Source organism: Homo sapiens, chromosome 18 (genome assembly GCF_000001405.40).
Source record: "Homo sapiens chromosome 18, GRCh38.p14 Primary Assembly".
Lineage (NCBI taxonomy): Eukaryota > Metazoa > Chordata > Mammalia > Primates > Hominidae > Homo > Homo sapiens.
The window spans coordinates 3729823-3750637 of record NC_000018.10 but is presented as its reverse complement, the minus strand read 5'-3'; the positions used below and the strand labels follow the sequence as shown (position 1 = coordinate 3750637).

The 20815-nt window shown below is 38.3% G+C and overlaps 1 protein-coding gene across 36 annotated transcripts in view; it reads left to right on the top strand.

The window, feature by feature from the left end:
- The window catches only part of DLGAP1 (DLG associated protein 1), a 959276-nt gene that overhangs the window by 704670 nt on the left and 233791 nt on the right, over positions 1-20815 (top strand). For all 36 annotated transcript variants that reach the window (NM_001398527.1, NM_001398526.1, NM_004746.4 and 33 more), the window contains one exon: positions 8126-8303. In NM_001398527.1, coding sequence (NP_001385456.1) covers positions 8126-8303 — 178 coding nt within the window. The remainder of the gene's footprint in view (positions 1-8125; positions 8304-20815) is intronic.

The following is a 20815-nucleotide window of genomic DNA, read 5'->3' as shown; positions in this document are numbered from 1 at the left end:
ATACATTCAAGGATACAGGACTCATGATAGGAGCATGGTTAGGAGAACCAAGGTGAAGCCTGGACTGAGGAAGCAGTAGACCAAGAAGTGCTGAAGGAGAGAGAGGCAAGAACTGAATATGGAACTACCATTCGACCCAGCAATCCCACTACCAGGTAGATATCCAAAGGAAAATAAATCCTTCTACCAAAAGGACACATGCACGTGTATGTTTATTGCAGCACTGTTCACAATAGCAAAGACATGGAATCAATCTAGGTGCCTATCAGCAGTGGGCTGGATAAAGAAATATGGTGCATACACACCATGGAATACTACACAGCCATAACAATGAAATCATGTCCTTCACAGCAACATGGATGCAGCTGGAAGCCATCATCTGAAGCAAATTAACGCAGGAAACAAAAACCAAATGCCACATGTTGTCACTTATAAATGGGAGCTAAACAGTGGGTACACGCAGACATGAAGATGGCAACAACAGACTCTGGGGACTACTAGAGAGGGGATGGAGGGAGGGGACAAGGGTCGAAAGACTAACTGTTGGGTACTGTGGTGCTCACTACCTGGGTGATGAGATCACTCATACCCCAAAACCTCAGTATCACACACAATATATTCATGTAGCAAACCTGCACATGTAACCCCAAATCCAAAAAGTTGGAAACAAGGAAAGAGAGAGAAGAAACCATATTTAAATGTATATAGGAAGTAGAAACAAGAAAATATGATTATCAGCTGGATTTGGACAGTTAAGAAAAAGAGACAGGATAAATTTCTGGATTTCTAGTTTGGTTGACTGGGTAGATTTCAGTGCCATTCATCTCAATGTGGATTAAAAAAATAAGAAAATTTGAGGAGAAAGGTATGTGTTCATTTGGGGTTCATGACAATTTTTTGGTACTTGTGGAACATCTGGATAGAAATGTACAGTAGTTACTTAAAACTTCAGTTTTGAAGTTCAAGAGATCTCTAGACTACAAATAGATTTGGGAGTGATTAGCATAAGGTTGGTAGTAGAAGCCATTGAGGAGATGAGATTGTCCATAAACAGAATGTACAATAAAAACAGAATATAAACAATTATAAAGTATTAGGGAATAAAAGCATGTAAGGGCAAGTTAGAGGAAGAGGAACCCAAATGAGAATCCAGGCTGGATTCCCCAAGAAATAGAAGGAGATGTTGGCCGGGCGCAGTGGCTCACCCCTGTAATCCCAGCACTTTGGGAGGCCAAGGCAGGCAGATCACTTGAGGTCATGAGTTCAAGATCAGCCTGACCAAAATGGTGAAACCCCCCTCTCTACTAGAAATACAAAAAAAATTAGCTGGGTGTGGTGGCATCCGCCTGTAATCCCAGCTACTTGGGAGGCTGAGGCGGAGAATCACTTTAACCCAGGAAGCAGAGGTTGCAGTGAGCTGAGATTGCACCACTGCACTCCAGCCTGGGCAACAGAGTGAGACTCTGTCAAAAAAAAAAAAAAAAAAAAAGAAGAAGAAGAAGGAGGAGGAGGAAGAGGAGGAGGAGGAGAAGGAGAAGGAGAAGACAGAATAGGAATGTGGAAGTTAAAAGGCCAAGTTTCCATTGGAATTACCTTCAACACTATGTGATCTCTCAAAGTCATGATTTCTTTATCTAACAGTAGCCAGGCATTGGATAAATGGTAACAAATGTCAGGTATTATTATAAAGTAGAAATAACTCAAGAGGCAACTACAAAAGTAAACAACTTTAATGAAAGTTACATTTCTATACGGATTATAAAGCCATTATAGGTAAGGTTACTGAAAAGAAAGGCTTCGTTTTACCAAAGCAGATTGACTACTAAAATGCCCTGTGTTTGATTCCCTGAAACTAGTTCAACAGAGAACTGTCACCTACTAAGTACCATTGTCCACACCAAAGCCCAAGGGATCAAAGCCTCTCAGTTTAAGCCATTAATGTTTATGAGTATGATTTGATAAAAGTGTCATGACCAAGGCCAAATACGTTCATTTTTGAAATACAATGAAGTTAGATTAACCTCCTGAGGCCATAAAATGTTTCCTCTGGGTCCCATGGAAGAGCCTTACATTCCAATACTTTTGTAAGTCAGAGAGAAGACAACGTGAAAATGAACAAAACTTAGGGTGCAGATGGCTCCATAAGATGGTCCATCACCTCCAAAGATTCTCCCATTAGACTCCATAACCTGGAAGCATTTCCTTCTTTGGGGGAAAAAGCATCCCAGCCATCTGAAGTTATTTCCAGTAATATGTTGCAAAGTTAGTCATTTTGTCTTTTGAGACACTGGTTTAAAACTTTGTGGTCTGATGATTACTGTACACGCTCTTCTTCGCAATGGCAGCCTTCCGGATACAAAGGGTCAAGCTTGTTTGTGTGGTTGGCTCACTGTCACCTAAGAACTTCCCATTATTGGTTGTACTTTAAAGTCATGATAATGAATGGGACCTCCCAGCCCAAAAAATCAAAATCTCCCTTTAGTTCTGATAAGCTAGGAAAAGTTAACTTAGCATAAGTAATTTAGGGAGAAGGATGGAAAAAGAAGAGTGCCATTTCGTTAGACCAACATTGGAAATAATTAACGTAACATGAGAGAGTTAATGTTTCTGAATATGCACACTGTCTTTCTTCTGAGCAGATCAACTTTCTTTTGAGGTAAAGACAAAGTCATCGATGCACTATTTTGGTGTTTATTTAATGAGCGTTTCTGCATCCGGAGCACATGGGCATATAGTAACCTTTATATTGATAGCGGAGGGCTCTGTTCTATAAGTGGGCAAGATAAAACAGTTCATTTCCTTATATTTTGTGTGTTATTAATGTATGCATTGTTTTATCAGGAATGACTCACCAGAGAAGAACTATTCAATTCCTTCTGAATGATGTTTCACTTTGAAATTTGGGAATTGTGCCTTATTTCATAACGAGTGGCCAGAGTGAATGATTGTTGCAATGATGCCTCATTTCCCCATTCAGCCAGCAGACGCTCATTTTTCAAAACGCCGGACTTTCACTTCTTCTTTGAATATACACCATTTATGAAACAGCCACTCCCGTCACTGCCCTGATAACATTTGGAATGGCATCATCATTTATGTTGGCAATATCATTGCTCTGGGTCAGGTTGCAAAATAGTCAAAGAAACACATTTGTCATCTAATGCGCAAGTTCTAAAGAGAAGTGAACTTTAGGTTATAAATGCTTCCAGCTACGATTCTCTTTTTCTAAAAAAGATCTTAAAAGGAAAACGAATTTTTCAGTTTGTTTGTTGGTTGAAATTTTTGGCATTGGTATTATAAAGCGATGCAGCTGGAATCACCATAATAGCACGTAACACATGGAAAATATTACCTTGACCTGGCAAACTATTTTCATGTTTGACCACTACTTGAAGGATCCATAGGGCACATTTCTAGAACAATTTTTTTCTTTTACTTTTTTATATTAAAAAATACAGACAGGGCCTCACTATGTAGCCCAGGCTGGTCTGGGCTCAAGAGTTCCTTCCACGTAGACCTCCCAAAGTGCTAGGATTACAGGTGTGAGCCACACTGCACCCAGCCTAGTTTATCTTTTGTAACAGTAAAATGCAATAAGAGATTTACTTTCGATGTTATATTCTAGATCTGTCTTAATTTGGTTTCTCCCTCAGTGCAGCTGCAAAAAGTGGTTGCTTATCACATTCTCAGGGTTTAGTATTATTAAGAATAGTTTTTGGCTGTTATATATTAAGTAATTCCATACAAGCTTTAAGAATAGATGCAATCGTACACAATGCTACTAAGAGGACACTTAGAATATAGGGAATATCTTTACAATTTGAGGACATCAAGATGGATGTACATGAATGTAATGTGTAAATGTATGTTTTTTAAAATCCACATTTCTCTAATTACTAGTGAGATCGAGCATTTTGTCATATGCTTGGTGATATATAAAGTTACTTTCCTGTGAATTTATATATTTATTTTCTTATGATTCCCTCTTTATAGGCTTTGACCATTTTTTATTGTGTTGGTTTCATTATTTTTATTCATAATTTAAATATTATGCATGTGAACCCTTTTTGCTGCTTAGTGTTGCAAATATGTTCTTATACACAATGACTATTTTTCTTAACATTGTTGACAGGATCTTTGGCTGAACAAAAGTTTTAAATTTTCATGTACTTCCATTCATTAACCTTTCTCTTTATGGCATCTAAGTTTACCACGATGCTTCTAAAGTCTTTCTCTACCATATTCCTTTGCATTTCTTTAGGCCTTCTTTATTGCCTTCCATAAGGCTTTATAGGTTTTTTTATTCATAAAACATTGATAAATTTCTCTTTAAATTGTTTAAGTATAGAAATTGAGATTATAAAATATAATCTATATTGTATTGGAGAACTTTAAGTTTTTAAAATATTATTTTTCATCTATATGCTTAGTAGGAATTCATTTTTCCCCAAGTGGAGGCAAAAAAGGTCTAACTCCATTATTAAATACTTGATCTTTTCCTTGCCTATTCCAACTGCCACGTTTGCAATATATTATATTCAAACACATACTTAGTTCTGTTTCTGGAGTCCTTATTTCATTCTACTGCTTTGTCAGTTCCTTTACTAACATGACCCATTTTCATCATTGCAGCTATAAAGTATAGCTGAGGCCGGGCATGGTGGCACACTCCTGTAATCCCAGCACTTGGGGAGGCCAAGGTGGGCAGATCCCTTGAGGTCAGGAGTTCAAGACCAGCCTGGCCAACATGGTGTAACCCCTTCTCTACAAAAATACAAAAATTAGCTGGGCTTGATGGCATGTTCCTGTAATCCCAGCTGCTCTGGAGGCTGAAGCAGGAGAATCGCTTGAACCCAGGAGGCAGAGATTGCAGTGAGCTGAGATCGCACTACTGCACTCCAGCCTGGGCAATAAAGCAAGACTCCATCTCAAAAAAATAAATAAAAATAAAAAATAAAATATAGCTGAGATCAGATAAAGGGCATTCCTCCCCTTGTTTTTTATTTATTTTTATTTTCTGGCTGTTCTTAGAACCTTTAGACCTCCTTACTCATCAACCACATTTAATTTTCGTGTGGATTCTCAAATCTATCTCTTCCTCTCTACTACCACTAATACTTAACTGAGCCCTTTTCCCTTGTTTAGATTATAGCAACATTGCAACCACCTTAACTGGCCTTCTTTCTCTAGTATTGCCCAGTTTAGTCTACCCTCTAAACTCCGTAAGGAAATCTGATTATTTTGAGGACTCACGTAATTTTTTACAACGGTTTTGTGGAAATATAATACACATAACATATAATTCACCATTTTCAAGTGTACAATTTAATGATTTTCATATATTCAGAGTTGTGCAACCAACACTATAACTAATTTTAGAACTGTTTTATCACTGCAAAGAGAAACTCCATACCCTTCAGATATCACTTCCTAATGCCACCATCTTCCTATGCTTTCCCCGCCCAGCTCTAGTCAACCACTCACCTACTTTCTATCTTTAGCGATTTGCCTATTCTGGACATTTCATGTAAGTAGAATCATGTAATATGTGGTCTTTTGTAATATGAGGCTTCTTTCAGTTAGCATGATGTTCTCAAAGTTCATCTATATTATAGCATGTATCAATACTTCATTCCTTTTTTTAGTCAAATAGTTCATTTACCACATTTCATCTACTCAGAGTTAGACATTTGGGTTGCTTCCACCTTTTGTCTGTTATGAATAATGCTGCTCTGAATCTTATATAAACTTTAAAATGAGTTTGTTACATTTGAATAAAATTTCTATGGAGATTTATGGGGCAGTGGCTTATGCCTGTAATCCCAACACTTTGGGAGGCCAAGGTGGGCAGATCACTTGAGGTCAGGAGTCTGAGACCAGCCGGGCCAACATGGTGAAACCCCATCTCTACTAAAAATACAAAAATTAGCCGGCCGCGGTGGCGTGCGTGTGTCATTCCGGCTACTCGGGAGGCTAAGGCAGGAGAATCACTTGAACCCAGGAGGTGAAGGTTGCAGTGAGCTACACTCCACCTGGGCGACAGAGTGAGACTCCATCTCAAAAAGAGAAAAAAGGTAAAATTGACATGGAGATTTTTGTCGCAATTACGTTAAATTTATAGATAAATTTAGGGAAAATTTAAGTTTTTTTACAGGAAAATTGTTGTGGGGGTTTTTTGCATTAATTTAGCACTTACTTAGTGCCTTCCATAAATTTTATCATTTTCTTCATAAAATTTGATGCGTTTCTTTTTTGTAATTTCTGTGTATTTTATGTTTTGCAATTTTAAAGGGAATTTTTTTCATTAAAATTTTATTTGATGTTACGTGGAAAAGCTGTTAATTTATGTATTGTTACCTTGTATCTAGCTACCTTGAGGATTTCCCTTAAAAGTTCTCATGGTTTTTCAGATGATTTTCTCTTACTTTACAGATAATTGATTACATAATCTATAAATACTCAAATCTTATCTCTTTACAATGTTTATATTACTTATTTTTCAAAATTTTCTGATTTCACTGGCTAGGATGATAAATAATAGCGGCTATGGGGGCATACATCTTTTTCCCTATCAACTTTAATTTATTTAATTAGGAACAATGTTACAGCCAAAATGAAAGAAATCTAATAAAGAAAGAAAAATCGCACTAATACCATGTGAAAAGAAACTTTAAAAATAACTAACATTGGCCGGGCACAGTGGCTCATGCCTTTAATCCCAACACTTTGGGAGGCCGAGGCAGGCAGGTCACTTGAGGCCAGGAGTTCAAGACCAGCCTGGCCAACATAGCAAAACCCCATCTCTACAAAAAGTACAAAAATTAGCCAGGCATGGTGGTGTGTACCTGTTGTCTCAGCTATTCAGGGGCTGAGGCATGAGAATTGCTTGAACCTAGGAGGCGGAGGCTGCAGTGAGCCAAGATCATGCCACTGCACTCCAGCCTGGACGACAGAGCAAGACTCTGTCTCAAAAATTAAAATAAAGGCCGGGCGCGGTGGCTCACGCCTGTAATCACAGCACTTTGGGAGGCCGAGGTGGGCGGATCACGAGGTCAGGAGATCGAGACCATCCTGGATAACACTGTGAAACCCCGTCTCTACTAAAAATACAAAAAAATAGCCAGGCGTGGTGGCAGGTGCCTGTAGTCCCAGCTACTCGGGAGGCTGAGGCAGGAGAATGGCATGAACCCGGGAGGTGGAGTTTGCAGTGAGCCAAAGTTGCGCCACTGCACTCCAGCCTGGGTGACACAGCAAGACTCCGTCTCAAAAAAATAAAAAAAAAATTAAAATTAAATAAAATAACTAACATTAAATTGATTATATATGAATAGAAGGACTGAGGAAGAATATACCCCAAACTGCTATGAGTAGTTCTTTTAAGGGTATGGAATTCTACAGACAGGAACAAGGGGAGACAGAGGGACCCACCTTCTACTTTGTGCACATCTGTATAGCTTGGCTATTTGCAATTAGCATTTTCTACTTTTATAATTTTACAATGCATCCTAGAATAAATCCAAAGAATACAAAGTGTGTAGTGACTTGTCTTTACATATAAAGATTGAGAGTTGTGCCTTTTTAATGGCTAAGGTGTAAGTTCTGTTCACGAAGTTCAATTTCAACTATATTAGAGAGTTAAAGATGGAAGGAAGGAAGGAAGGAAGGAAGGAAGGAAGGAAGGAAGGAAGATAAATTGATAGATAAAAATATAGATATAGATATATACCCACTTACTGTTACCAAACAGTCCAAAAACAAAAAGATGGCCACAGGAAAGAAATAGATACAAAGAAAAGCTTTACAAATTACACAAGTCAGAATTCCTGGGCAGGACAATTGCTGCTTATTATCTGCTTCCTAGGATGGCTAGAAAAATGTGAATGAGGCAATTAGTTCATGGTTGAAGAGAATGTTAATTGCTCTCGAATGTCATCAGATCTTGATGATTTCCTGTCAAAAGCTCTTCCTTCTGAGACACTGTGGGGGAGTTTAGTAATCACAGAAGGGCATCTATGTCATTTGTCCCAGTATTTAGGGTGCTACATAAATGACAATAGTGCCACATGTTATTGCTTCCTGCATTTTGGAATGTGACTAATGCACCTCTTCCATTGTTCCCTTCCAGAATCTCCAATGAACACTCACCCAAACTCCAGATCCGGAGTCATAGTTACCTGAGGGCAGTGAGTGAAGTCTCCATCAACCGGAGCCTGGACAGCCTGGACCCTGCAGGCTTGCTCACATCACCAAAGTTCCGCTCCAGGAATGAGAGCTACATGCGAGCCATGAGCACCATCAGCCAGGTGAGGGCCGTCAGGGCAGCGGTGGTCAGGAGCCATTAGTGGCAGGAAGGTTAGTGAGAATTGAGAGGGCATGAGGTGGGGAGGCAGTCATTCATCCAGTAGACCATTGATGGATCAGACAGGAGGTCCAGTCAAGTGCTGCAAAGAGCATGCCATGGGTTCAGCCGCAGTAAGCCCCCGGTATCAATGGTCTGCCAGGAGGTGGGGCCCTCTGTAAGTGGATAAAGCACAATGAAGAGGGTCCTTGGAAATTCACTAGAGATCAGGAGTTCAAGATCAGCCTGGCCAACATGGTGAAACCCTGTATCTATCAAAAATACAAATGTAAGCCTGGCATGGTGGCACCCATCTGTGATCCCAGCTACTCTGGAGGCTGAGGCAAGAGAATCACTTGAAACTGGGAGGCAGAGGTTGCAGTGAACCGAGATCACGTCACTGCACTCCAGCCTGGGCGACATAGCAAGACTCTTTCTCTGTTAAAAAAAAAGAAAAAGAAAAAGAAAACTTCGGCTTTTAAACAAGCAAGGGATATGAATCTAACTTTGACATAGGATAACTAATCTGGCAAAAAAACATAGGAAAGATTGGAGAGAATGAGAAGCTAGAAGCAGAGAGGCTAGTTTGGAAGACACTGTGATCATCAAGGTGAGAATTAATGTTACTGATGGTGATGGTGACCATAGTGGTGATGTTGGTGTGTTGGTGATAATGATGGCAGTGATGGTGATGATGGCGATGGTGGTGATGGTGATGGTGGTAGCAGTGATGATAGTGATGGTGATGGTGGTGATGTTGGTGATGGTGTTGGTAGTGATGGTGGTGGTAATTATGGTGATGGCAGTGGTAGTGGTAGTGATAGTAATGGTGATGGTAATGGTGATGGTAGTGGCAGTGATGATGGTGATGGTGGTGACAGTGATGGTAATAGTAATGGCAGTGGTGATTGTGATGATGGTGATGGTGGTGGTGATGGTGATGTGGTGGTGGTGGTGGTGGTGGTGGTGATGGTGGTGGTGGTGGTGGTGATGTGATGTGGTGGTGGTGGTGGTGGTGATGGTGATGTGGTGGTGGTGATTGTGGTGGTGATGGTGATGGTGGTGGTGGTGATGGTGATGTGGTGGTGGTGGTGGTGATTTGGTGGTGGTGGTGGTGGTGGTGGTGATGTGGTGGTGATGGTGGTGGTGATGGTGATGGTGATGTGGTGGTGGTGGTGATGGTGGTGGTGATGGTGATGGTGGTGGTGGTGATGGTGATGGTGGTGGTGGTGGTGGTGGTGATGGTGGTGGTGGTGAGGTGATGGTGGTGGTGGTGGTGGTGATGGTGGTGGTGGTGGTGAGGTGATGGTGGTGGTGGTGGTGATGTGATGGTGGTGGTGGTGGTGACAGTGGTGGCAGTGGTGGTGATGACCATGGTGGTGGTGGTGTTGGTAATGGGTGGCAGTGGTGGTTGTGATGGTGACGGTGGTGGCGGTGGTGGTCGTGATGGTGGTGGTGATGATTATGGTAATAGCAATGGTGACAGTGGTGGCGGTGGTGGTTATGATGGTGGTTGTGATTGTGGTGATAGTGATGGTGACAGTGGTGGTGGTGGTGGTCGTGATTGTGATGGTGGTAGCAGTGACAGTGGTGATAGTGATGCTATGGTGTGGTGCTGGTATAGATGAAAACAAGGTATTCAGAAAAAATTATGAAATGGTAGGCTGATCACTGAAACATCTGTCAAAATAAGACCCTGAAATAGGGACACTGCTCTCATTCTGTCCCTATCAACAAAATTAAGCTCCCTGCTCTAAATGGAGTCCTGAAGAAAAAAATCAGGAACTGCAGGGCAGGCTCCAAGGGCAGAGTAGGGAGGGAGCCAGGGAAAGCTGTCATGTGGGATTTCAGTGCTGACCCATCGTGTGTTTCCTTGCTTTACAGAAATCTCCAAGAACATGCAAACCTATTCGTGCTGGTTACTGCTTGTCCAATGATATACATTATCCCAATTCTCAGGGAAATAGCTGGAGCCTCATTTTGGTGCATTTTGGACTTGTTTTGTTTTTATCTTTTTCACAATAGGTAATATAACATTTAAAACTTTTTGGAGCACATATTTATTCTGCATGGCCTAAAGGTCACACAGTCATTGAGAATTATAAAATGGTCTACAAACCTAGGGGTCATACATGCAGAATACATCAGTGGATTTAAAATATTCTGTTGGAAAAATATTTATATACATTCATGGTTTTCATAACTTTATGGAGAACTTTTAATTTCCCCCAGCAGCACACTACCCTTGCAGCTCACTGTTTTTAGTCCCTGGCTGCACATTTGACCTTCTTTAGGGCAACATCACTTTCTAATGATAGCTTAGTAAGATACCAACAAATCATTGCACAGACACATGGGAGAAGTAATGCTGTCAGGTCAAGCACTGCAATTCCATGACGTAGCCATTCGGCCTTAGGTAAAATACAGAAAGAATGGCCAGCTGAAATGGATTCCTAATGACATCATTTTTCTAGTTCCATATTCAATTTTCAAGTAACACAGTATCTTTTTTTTTCTTTTATTTTTATACTTTAAGTTTTAGGGTACATGTGCACATTGTGCAGGTTAGTTACATATGTATACATGTGCCGCACTGGTGCGCTGCACCCACTAACTTGTCATCTTGCATTAGGTATATCTCCCAATGGTATCCCTCCCCCCTCCCCCGACCCCACAACAGTCCCCAGAGTGTGATGTTCCCCTTCCTGTGTCCATGTGATCTCATTGTTCAATTCCCACCTATGAGTGAGAATATGCGGTGTTTGGTTTTTTGTTCTTGCGATAGTTTACTGAGAATGATGATTTTCAATTTCATCCATGTCCCTACAAAGGACATGAACTCATCATTTTTTATGGCTGCATAGTATTCCATGGTGTATATGTGCCACATTTTCTTAATCCAGTCTATCATTGTTGGACATTTGGGTTGGTTCCAAGTCTTTGCTATTGTGAATAGTGCCACAATAAACATACGTGTGCATGTGTCTTTATAGCAGCATGATTTATAGTCCTTTGGGTATATACCCAGTAATTGGATGGCTGGGTCAAATGGTATTTCTGGTTCTAGATCCCTGAGGAATCGCCACACTGACTTCCACAATGGTTGAACTAGTTTACAGTCCCACCAACAGTGTAAAAGTGTTCCTATTTCTCCACATCCTCTCCAGCACCTGTTGTTTCCTGACTTTTTAATGATTGCCATTCTAACTGGTGTGAGATGGTATCTCATTGTGGTTTTGATTTGCATTTCTCTGATGGCCAGTGATGATGAGCATTTTTTCATGTGTTTTTTGACTGCATAAATGTCTTCTTTTGAGAAGTGTCTGTTCATGTCCTTCGCCCACTTTTTGATGGGGTTGTTTGTTTTTTTCTTGTAAATTTGTTTGAGTTCATTGTAGATTCTGGATATTAGCCCTTTGTCAGATGAGTAGGTTGCAAAAATTTTCTCCCATTTTGTAGGTTGCCTGTTCACTCTGATGGTAGTTTCTTTTGCTGTACAGAAGCTCTTTAGTTTAATTAGATCCCATTTGTCAATTTTGTCTTTTGTTGCCATTGCTTTTGGTGTTTTAGACATGAAGTCCTTGCCCATGCCTATGTCCTGAATGGTATTGCCTAGGTTTTCTTCTAGGGTTTTTATGGTTTTAGGTCTAACGTTTAAGTCTTTAATTCATCTTGAATTAATTTTTGTATAAGGTGTAAGGAAGGGATCCAGTTTCAGCTTTCTACATATGGCTAGCCAGTTTTCCAAGCACCATTTATTAAATAGGGAATCCTTTCCCCATTGCTTGTTTTTCTCAGGTTTGTCAAAGATCAGATAGTTGTAGATATGTGGCGTTATTTCTGAGGGCTCTGTTCTGTTCCATTGATCTATATCTCTGTTTTGGTACCAGTACCATGCTGTTTTGGTTACTGTAGCCTTGTAGTATAGTTTGAAGTCAGATAGTGTGATGCCTCCAGCTTTGTTCTTTTGGCTTAGGATTGACTTGGCGATGCGGGCTCTTTTTTTGTTCCATATGAACTTTAAAGTAGTTTTTTCCAATTCTGTGAAGAAAGTCACTGGTAGCTTGATGGGGATGGCATTGAATCTGTAAATTACCTTGGGCAGTATGGCCATTTTCACGATATTGATTCTTCCTACCCATGAGCATGGAATGTTCTTCCATTTGTTTGTATCCTCTTTTATTTCATTGAGCAGTGGTTTGTAGTTCTTCTTGAAGAGGTCCTTCACATCCCTTGTAAGTTGGATTCGTAGGTATTTTATTCTCTTTGAAGCAATTGTGAATGGGAGTTCACTCATGATTTGGCTCTCTGTTTGTCTGTTGTTGGTGTATAACAATGCTTGTGATTTTTGTACATTGATTTTGTATCCTGAGACTTTGCTGAAGTTGCTTATCAGCTTAAGGAGATTTTGGGCTGAGACAATGGGGTTTTCTAGATATACAATCATGTCGTCTGCAAAGAGGGACAATTTGACTTCCTCTTTTCCTAATTGAATACCCTTTATTTCCTTCTCCTGCCTAATTGCCCTGGCCAGAACTTCCAACACTATGTTGAATAGGAGTGGTGAGAGAGGGCATCCCTGTCTTGTGCCAGTTTTCAAAGGGAATGCTTCCAGTTTTTGCCCATTCAGTATGATATTGGCTGTGGGTTTGTCATAGATAGCTCTTATTATTTTGAAATACATCCCATCAATACCTAATTTATTGAGAGTTTTTAGCATGAAGGCTTGTTGAATTTTGTCAAAGGCCTTTTCTGCATCTATTGAGATAATCATGTGGTTTTTGTCTTTGGCTCTGTTTATATGCTGGATTACATTTATTGATTTGCGTATATTGAACCAGCCTTGCATCCCAGGGATGAAGCCCACTTGATCATGGTGGATAAGCTTTTTGATGTGCTGCTGGATTCGTTTTGCCAGTATTTTATTGAGGATTTTTGCATCAATGTTCATCAAGGATATTGGTCTAAAATTCTCTTTTTTGGTTGTGTCTCTCTGCCAGGCTTTGGTATCAGAATGATGCTGGCCTCATCAAATGAGTTAGGGAGGATTCCCTCTTTTTCTAGTGATTGGAATAGTTTCAGAAGGAATGGTACCAGTTCCTCCTTGTACCTCTGGTAGAATTCGGCTGTGAATCCATCTGGTCCTGGACTCTTTTTGGTTGGTAAGCTATTGATTATTGCCACAATTTCAGATCCTGTTATTGGTCTATTCAGAGATTCAACTTCTTCCTGGTTTAGTCTTGGGAGAGTGTATGTGTCGAGGAATTTATCCATTTCTTCTAGATTTTCTAGTTTATTTGCGTAGAGGTGTTTGTAGTATTCTCTGATGGTAGTTTGTATTTCTGTGGGATCGGTGGTGATATCCCCTTTATCATTTTTTATTGCATCTATTTGATTCTTCTCTCTTTTTTTCTTTATTAGTCTTGCTAGCGGTCTATCTATTTTGTTGATCCTTTCAAAAAACCAGCTCCTGGATTCATTAATTTTTTGAAGGGTTTTTTGTGTCTCTATTTCCTTCAGTTCTGCTCTGATTTTAGTTATTTCTTGCCTTCTGCTAGCTTTTGAATGGTAACACAGTATCTTTAAGGATAATTTCAAACGTCCTGTTGTAGTTGCAACATTGTCATTATTCAAAGGAGAATAGTTTCCTCTTCAAAGCAATGCTACTGTATATACCCTAGACTTTTCAAAAAGAGGTTGGCTTTTAAGATGTTAGAGCTATTTTCTCAAATAGATCATTAGTAGAAGCTATAATACTATAGAATTTAAGTGCATTATATCTTATTTCCCTTTAAAACCTGACACATTATTCATCAAAGGCTCCTAGAAAGTTGAGTACACCAAGGAGTTGGTCTAGAAAAACTAAATTGCTTCTGTCATTTATTACTCACAGCAGTAAAAGAGCCCTAAAAACAGATTGTGCTTGGATGATAAGGAAAAAAATTAAGTATGTTTTTATGTTTATTATTTTATATTTTTACCATAGGTACATCTAATTTAAAATGAGGGCTTTTAAAGTAGGGCTTGAGAAGAAAGAATTGTATTTATAGAAAGTCCAATATTTTAAAAATATGTCATGTAGTCACTGTCATTTCCAAGTTAATTTATGTCTTTATTTATTTCAAGTCCAAATCCTAGGTATTTTCATCTGGAATGGCAAACTAGAAGCCCGCAGACATATTTTCTCTGGCAACATGTTGGGTTTCTACATCCTTTTCTAAAATTAATGTAACTAGGCAGCTGTTTTAATACCAGCAGCTCAGCCGTGACTTTGACTTAGGCCATCCCCTCATTATGTGTGTGTGTGTGCATGTGGCATGGTGTGTGCTTGCGTGTGTGTGTGTGTGTAGAGAGAAAGAGAATGAAATGGAAACCTAGATAAATTAATTGTCTGTGGGTACCCAGCCAGTCAGTGACAGAGGCTAGGAAACCCAAGTGTCCTGACTCTTAACTGGTAAATGACTTCAATACCTGCTGGTATTGGTGGCAATAATATTGCTAGTAATAGTAGTATTAACAGTAGAAAGAATAACAATGGAATAATTAGTTACCGTTTTATGATTACCTGATACATGCTAGTAGCCTTGCTTATTATCTAATTAATTTCACATCTGTCCTGTAAGAAAGATCATTTTTTAATTTATGAATCTCAGTCTCAGAGAGTTGGACTAACATATTTGTTTCCTACTACTATTTTCCCACTACACTATCACAAAAAATAATATCCACCTTTTATGGAGTGTGTACCATATACCTAGACATATAATATGAATTTTGGGCCAAGCACGGTGGCTCACGCCTGTAATCTTAGTATTTTGGGAGCCTCAGTTGGATGGATCATGAGGTCAGGAGTTCCAGATCAGCCTGGCCAATATGGTGAAACCCCTTCTCTACTAAAAATACAAAAAAAAAGTTAGCCAGGCGTGGTGTCACACGCCTCTAGTTCCAGCTACTCAGGAGGCTGAGGCAGAAGAATCGCTTGAATCTGGGAGGCAGAGGTTGCAGTGAGCCAAGATCGTGCCACTGCACTCCAGCCTGGGTGACAAGAGTGAGACTCCGTCTCCAAAAAAAATACGCATTTTGACATTATTTTATTTTTATCCTTAAAGTACTCCTATGAGATAAGTATTATTATACTTATTTTACAGATGAGGAAAGTGAAGCTCAGAGAATTCAAGCAAATTGTCCACTATATAATTGAAGGAACACTAAAATTCTTCTTCATCCCATGTAAAAACTACATCTAAGTAAATTTAAAATCTAAGCAATAACACAAAGTAACAAAATGCATTAAAATAAATGTTAGGAGAATATATAGATAGTATTGTGGTCAGAATTATTACTTGTAATAAAATACAAATTCTAGAAAATATAAAGTAAAAGATCTATTCTAAATAAAATTAAATATTTCTGTGTGGCAAAATATATGATAAAGTTAAAATACAATTGGTGGGAGGAATATTGACACACATTAACAAAAAGGGTAAATGTTATAGTTGCTTAAAGTATTTCTACAAATTAGTAAGAAAAGATAACCCAAAAGAATCTTGGTCAAAGCTTATAAATAAAAATAATCAGAGAAAAAAATACAAAAGCCAGTAAATAAGTCAAAAGCCAGTAAATAAAGTGACAGGTGCCTATTCACATTTGTAGGATGTAAATCAAAACAGCACAGTATCATTCTTGACATAGAGCAGCAAAAACTGAGCTAACATTCTATTCTGGTGACCATGTTGAGAAATGAACTCTGTATTACTTGCTGTTTGGACTGTAAACTGCTATGTTTTAGAAAGTAGGTTAGTAAAATCTACAAAAAGGTAAAAATACACTAAAAAAAAAGGAACTAGAAAGGAAGGAAAATTTTAAAATCAAAAAGAAATGGGGCTGAGTGCAGTAGCTCGTGCCTGTTGTTCCAGCTACTCAGGAGGCTGAGGCCAGAGGATAGCTTGAGCCCAGGAGGTTGAGGCTGCAGTGAGCTATGATGACACCACTGCACTCCAGCCTGGGCAACAGAGCTAGACCCTATCTCTTAGAGAGAGAGAGAGAGAAAGAGAGAGAGAGAACACAAATGAAGAGTTAAAAAGAGAAATTGACAAATATCAAAAACAGACAAAAAAGATTAGACATACAGATAATAGAAGTCCCTTCAGAAGAAAATCAAAGGAACAGAACAAGTAAGAAAAACAATGATTTTTTTAAACTCTCCTGAAATAAAAAGTTGATTTGAAGCTACATATTGGAAGAACACACCATGTAAACACACCATGTACCTGAGAAATTGACCCTGAACAATCAACATCAGGACATATTCTTGTAAAATTACAAGACTTTAAAGAATTTCTTTAAAAACACTTTGGATTTCTGGACAGAAAGAACAACTTACTTAACAAAATGAAAACTGAGTTATCATTGGACCCTTTAACAGGAATGGTTTATGCTGGAAGAAAATGATGTGTGTAGCATTTTAATACACTCAAGGAAAAACATGTGAGTCAGATTTTTATATCCAGAAAAACTGACTTTCAAGTATAAAACATACAAACTGTTATAAGCATGGATGAACGCAGGAAATATTGATTCCATGAACACATTCTGAGAAATGTACTAGACAATGAGCTCTAAACAACCAAAATGACCAGACATAAGAACTACAGATGCTCCTCTACTTACAACGGGATTACATCCCTGATAGACCCATTGTGAGTTGAAAATACCTTAAGTCAAAAATGGGCATTTTGTAAACATGGTGGGATGTGAAAACAAAACAAAAAAACCCCACAATATCCAAAAAACACTGGCAACACAGTACACTTTGGAGTATCAGTTGTTTACCCTTGTAATTGCATGGCTGAGCACCTACCCAGAATCTCGAGAGAATACTATACCACATATCAATAGCCCAGAAAAAGATCTAAACTCAAAATTCAAAGTACAGTTTCTACTGAATGCATATCAATCTTGTATCATCATAAAGCAGAAAAATCATAAGTCATGGACCACCTGTAGCGGCAAACATTAAACACAATTATTTGTAGAACTAAGACTAAATGAGCGTTCACTGGTTGGGGAGCATAATACGTTTATTTGCTCTGACAATGTAAATATAGCACAACTATGTAAAAATGAGAAAAGAATAGAGGGACCACATGTAAAATAAAATTGTTTGCTCTTTAATCATATGTGGGCAGGGGTAGTACTGATAATGTTTTCTGTGCATATACTATGGGTTAAAGCAAATGGATAGTTATAGAATATTCCAATTCCATCATCTCCCATGTCCTTGAGAACCAAGATTCTTAGTATGGAATAAAGATCTAAGAATAAACATATATAGAAGAGGTTACATAAGAACCCTATAGTATTTATATCCTAGTTCTTCTCACTGAAAAGGCCTAAGAACAATGATTAACCCAGTAGCAATGACAATATATCTCCCTAGTACCCAGATTGTGTTCTTGTAATACCATTTCCCACTAAAAAAAGAAAGGGCTTTTTGGAAACATACTGATTCCAGGACTGGGCAGGAAAGGTTTAAGTTGAGTTTAGAATACCTTGTCATACCAGATATCAAAGAAGTTCTCAAAGATTACTACTTTCATGTCAAAAAGACCCCCAAACCAACCTAAAAGGCTCCCACTGACCAAAGATGGGACAAATTTAAGTTCATTAAGGATAATTATTTCAATTGACTTAAAACCATCAAATATTTTTAAATCTATGAGTTAATGTGATATTTTTTAAAAATCGATTACATATGGAATATAAGAGAGAACAAATTTATCTTGAAAATTAGTAAATAAAGAAGACAAATCAAGCATTTATCCTACCATTCTATATGAACTAAATCATTAAGTAAACAAGTAATGTGAAAGAGAATATTCCAACTAGTAGTTATAAAAGTAATTATAGAATATTGCATTTTGCAGCTCCCAAGGATTAACAAATCTAGACATTGAGCATAGATAACTCCTAACAACATAGAAGAGAGACAAACTAGACATAATGTGCCTCCTGATGAAATAAACACATGGCCTCTAGCCTTGCCAAAAAGATTGAACCTGAAGCTGATCAAATCTCTGAATCTGGATTCCAATTTTCAGGCAATACAAAATGCAGAGGAACATGATGAACTCCACCATGAGTATGAAATCAGCAAAACCCAGACTATGGGAACCTCTATGGGGCAAACAATCTAGATGCTCAATAGATAAGTCAAAATAAGTGTATGTTAAAGGTGAATTTTAAAGTGTATCAGATTTTTAAAATGGGTAAGACTAACTAGAGCCCAGGGATGCACGCTTGGGTGAAATAAAACATAAAGAAATGCACAAAAGTGAACGCAATAAAACTCAGGGTACTAGTTAAGCACTATTAGAGGGAGAGTGGAGATTGTGAATATGGGGGCATGTGGAGGGCTTCTAGGGTGTCCAGAAAAGTTTTGCTTCTTGATCTGGGTAGTGGTTCCAGGATGTTTGCCTTATTATAATTCATTAAGTTCTATATTTATTTTGTATGGTTTTCTGTATCTGTGTATAATGAAAATAAAAGGATAAAAGGGAATGAAGAAGAATTCTGTTAAGAATATAAGTTTAGCCAGGAGCCGTAGTTCACACCTGTAATCCCAGCATTTTGGGAGGTGGAGGTGGGAGGATGGTTTGAGACCGGGAGTTTGAGAGACCAGCCTGGGAAACATGGGGAAACCCTGTCTCTCCAAAAAAAAAAAAAAAAGCCAGGCGTGGTGGTGCGTACCTGTGGTCCCAGCTATCCAGGAAAATGAGTCGGGAGGATTGCTTGAGGCTACAGTAAGCCTTGTTCGTGCCACTGCACTCCACCCTGGGTGACAGAGCAAGAACCTATCTCAAAAAAAGAAAAGAATATAAGTTTAACCTAGAGGGTTAAGTAAAAAACCAACAAGTTGCAGAATTATATTTACTATATGATTCAAGTTTTATACAAAGTAGAAGAGGGGACATATATACTTATCTGGAAAGATAATCATCCGAGTTTAATGGTTGTTACCTTGACAGAAATATTTTGCTATCTCTTTGTAAAGTTTGGCATGTTGATTAAAAGGGGAAAAATGAATAAATTATATACATATACATATATTATATATATGTCTATATATACACCCATACATTTGCAGATGTATATAGACATACACACATATATATTTGCTTTATTTTTGGCTTTGAAATAATTGCAACCTTAAAAAAGAGTCACACATGTAATACAAAGACTCCTGTATATCCTTGACCCAGATTGAAATGTATGGATTGTTGAGATTTTGGCTCACTTGCTCACTCTTTGTCTCTCTTGCTCCATTTGATAGTTGCAGATACATTCCTTTACCTCTAAATGTGTGTCCATGTATTTCTTTAAAAACAAGGATATATAGAGATATAACTTTCTAATATGGACACATATAGTTATTAGCCTGGAAAATATGCAGGGATTTCACATAACAAATTAGATAAAGACTGTGAAAATAGCATTTTTAAACTGTAAAGAATTCTTATTAAAAAGTGTATGTCTCTTTCTATTGATATGCCTTAAGGTAATTGGTCACTTTTATCTGAAGTTTAAAGAAATTAGTCATTACTGGAGCACAACTTCAGATAATACAAAATGAGGAGACAGCCAAAAATTGTAATAGTTTTCAGTAAGTATTCAAAACGTAATTGTAGTTTAATTTGTTAAATTCTCGGTGCCTCATGAATTTGATATTAGGAAAATAGAGATAAGATGTCCTGGAAGGTAACAGAAAATTGAGAAATGCTCCCAAATCTCTAGCAAGTCAACTAAAAAGTGAGAAGTTGACTGGAACATCTAGTCAGGAATATTTTTTCTTAAGTGGGGCTCAAACCTAATGTAAGTTATATACAGGAGGAATATAAATCAATAAAAACTTATTCGTCAAAAAAAGAGGGCCCCCATTTCAAAGATTTTTTTCCAATTACGCCAAATATTTCTGTAGCAAATTTTTTTAAAATACATTAATAATTTATGAATCTTATCAGGTTTTTTGTTGTTGTTGTTTGTTTGTTGAGACAAGATCTCTCTCTGTTGCCCAGGCTGGAATGCAGTGGTGCAATCAGGCCTTACTGCAGCCTCGACCTCCTGGGCTGAAGTGATCCTCCTGCCACAGCCTCCCAAAGTGCTGGGTAATAGGTGCGAGCCACAACAGTCAGCCCATATGGGCTTTTTATAAAGAAGACTGAAACTTGTAAATAGTTTGAAAATCTTGATGGTGCTTTTCAAGATTTTGACATATCTGAGTTTAGTCTATTTTTGTGCAAAACGTGAGTATCTTGCCAGAAAATATAGGGCATGTTTCCATACCTTGCACTAAATTAAGCTTAACACTGAAATTATTTGACAAACTAGTCACTTCAAAAGGCACTGTAAAAATACTCGTTTCTAAAATGTTTGTGCTAAAAAGTGATACCAAAATACATGAACTCTGACAATGGACTG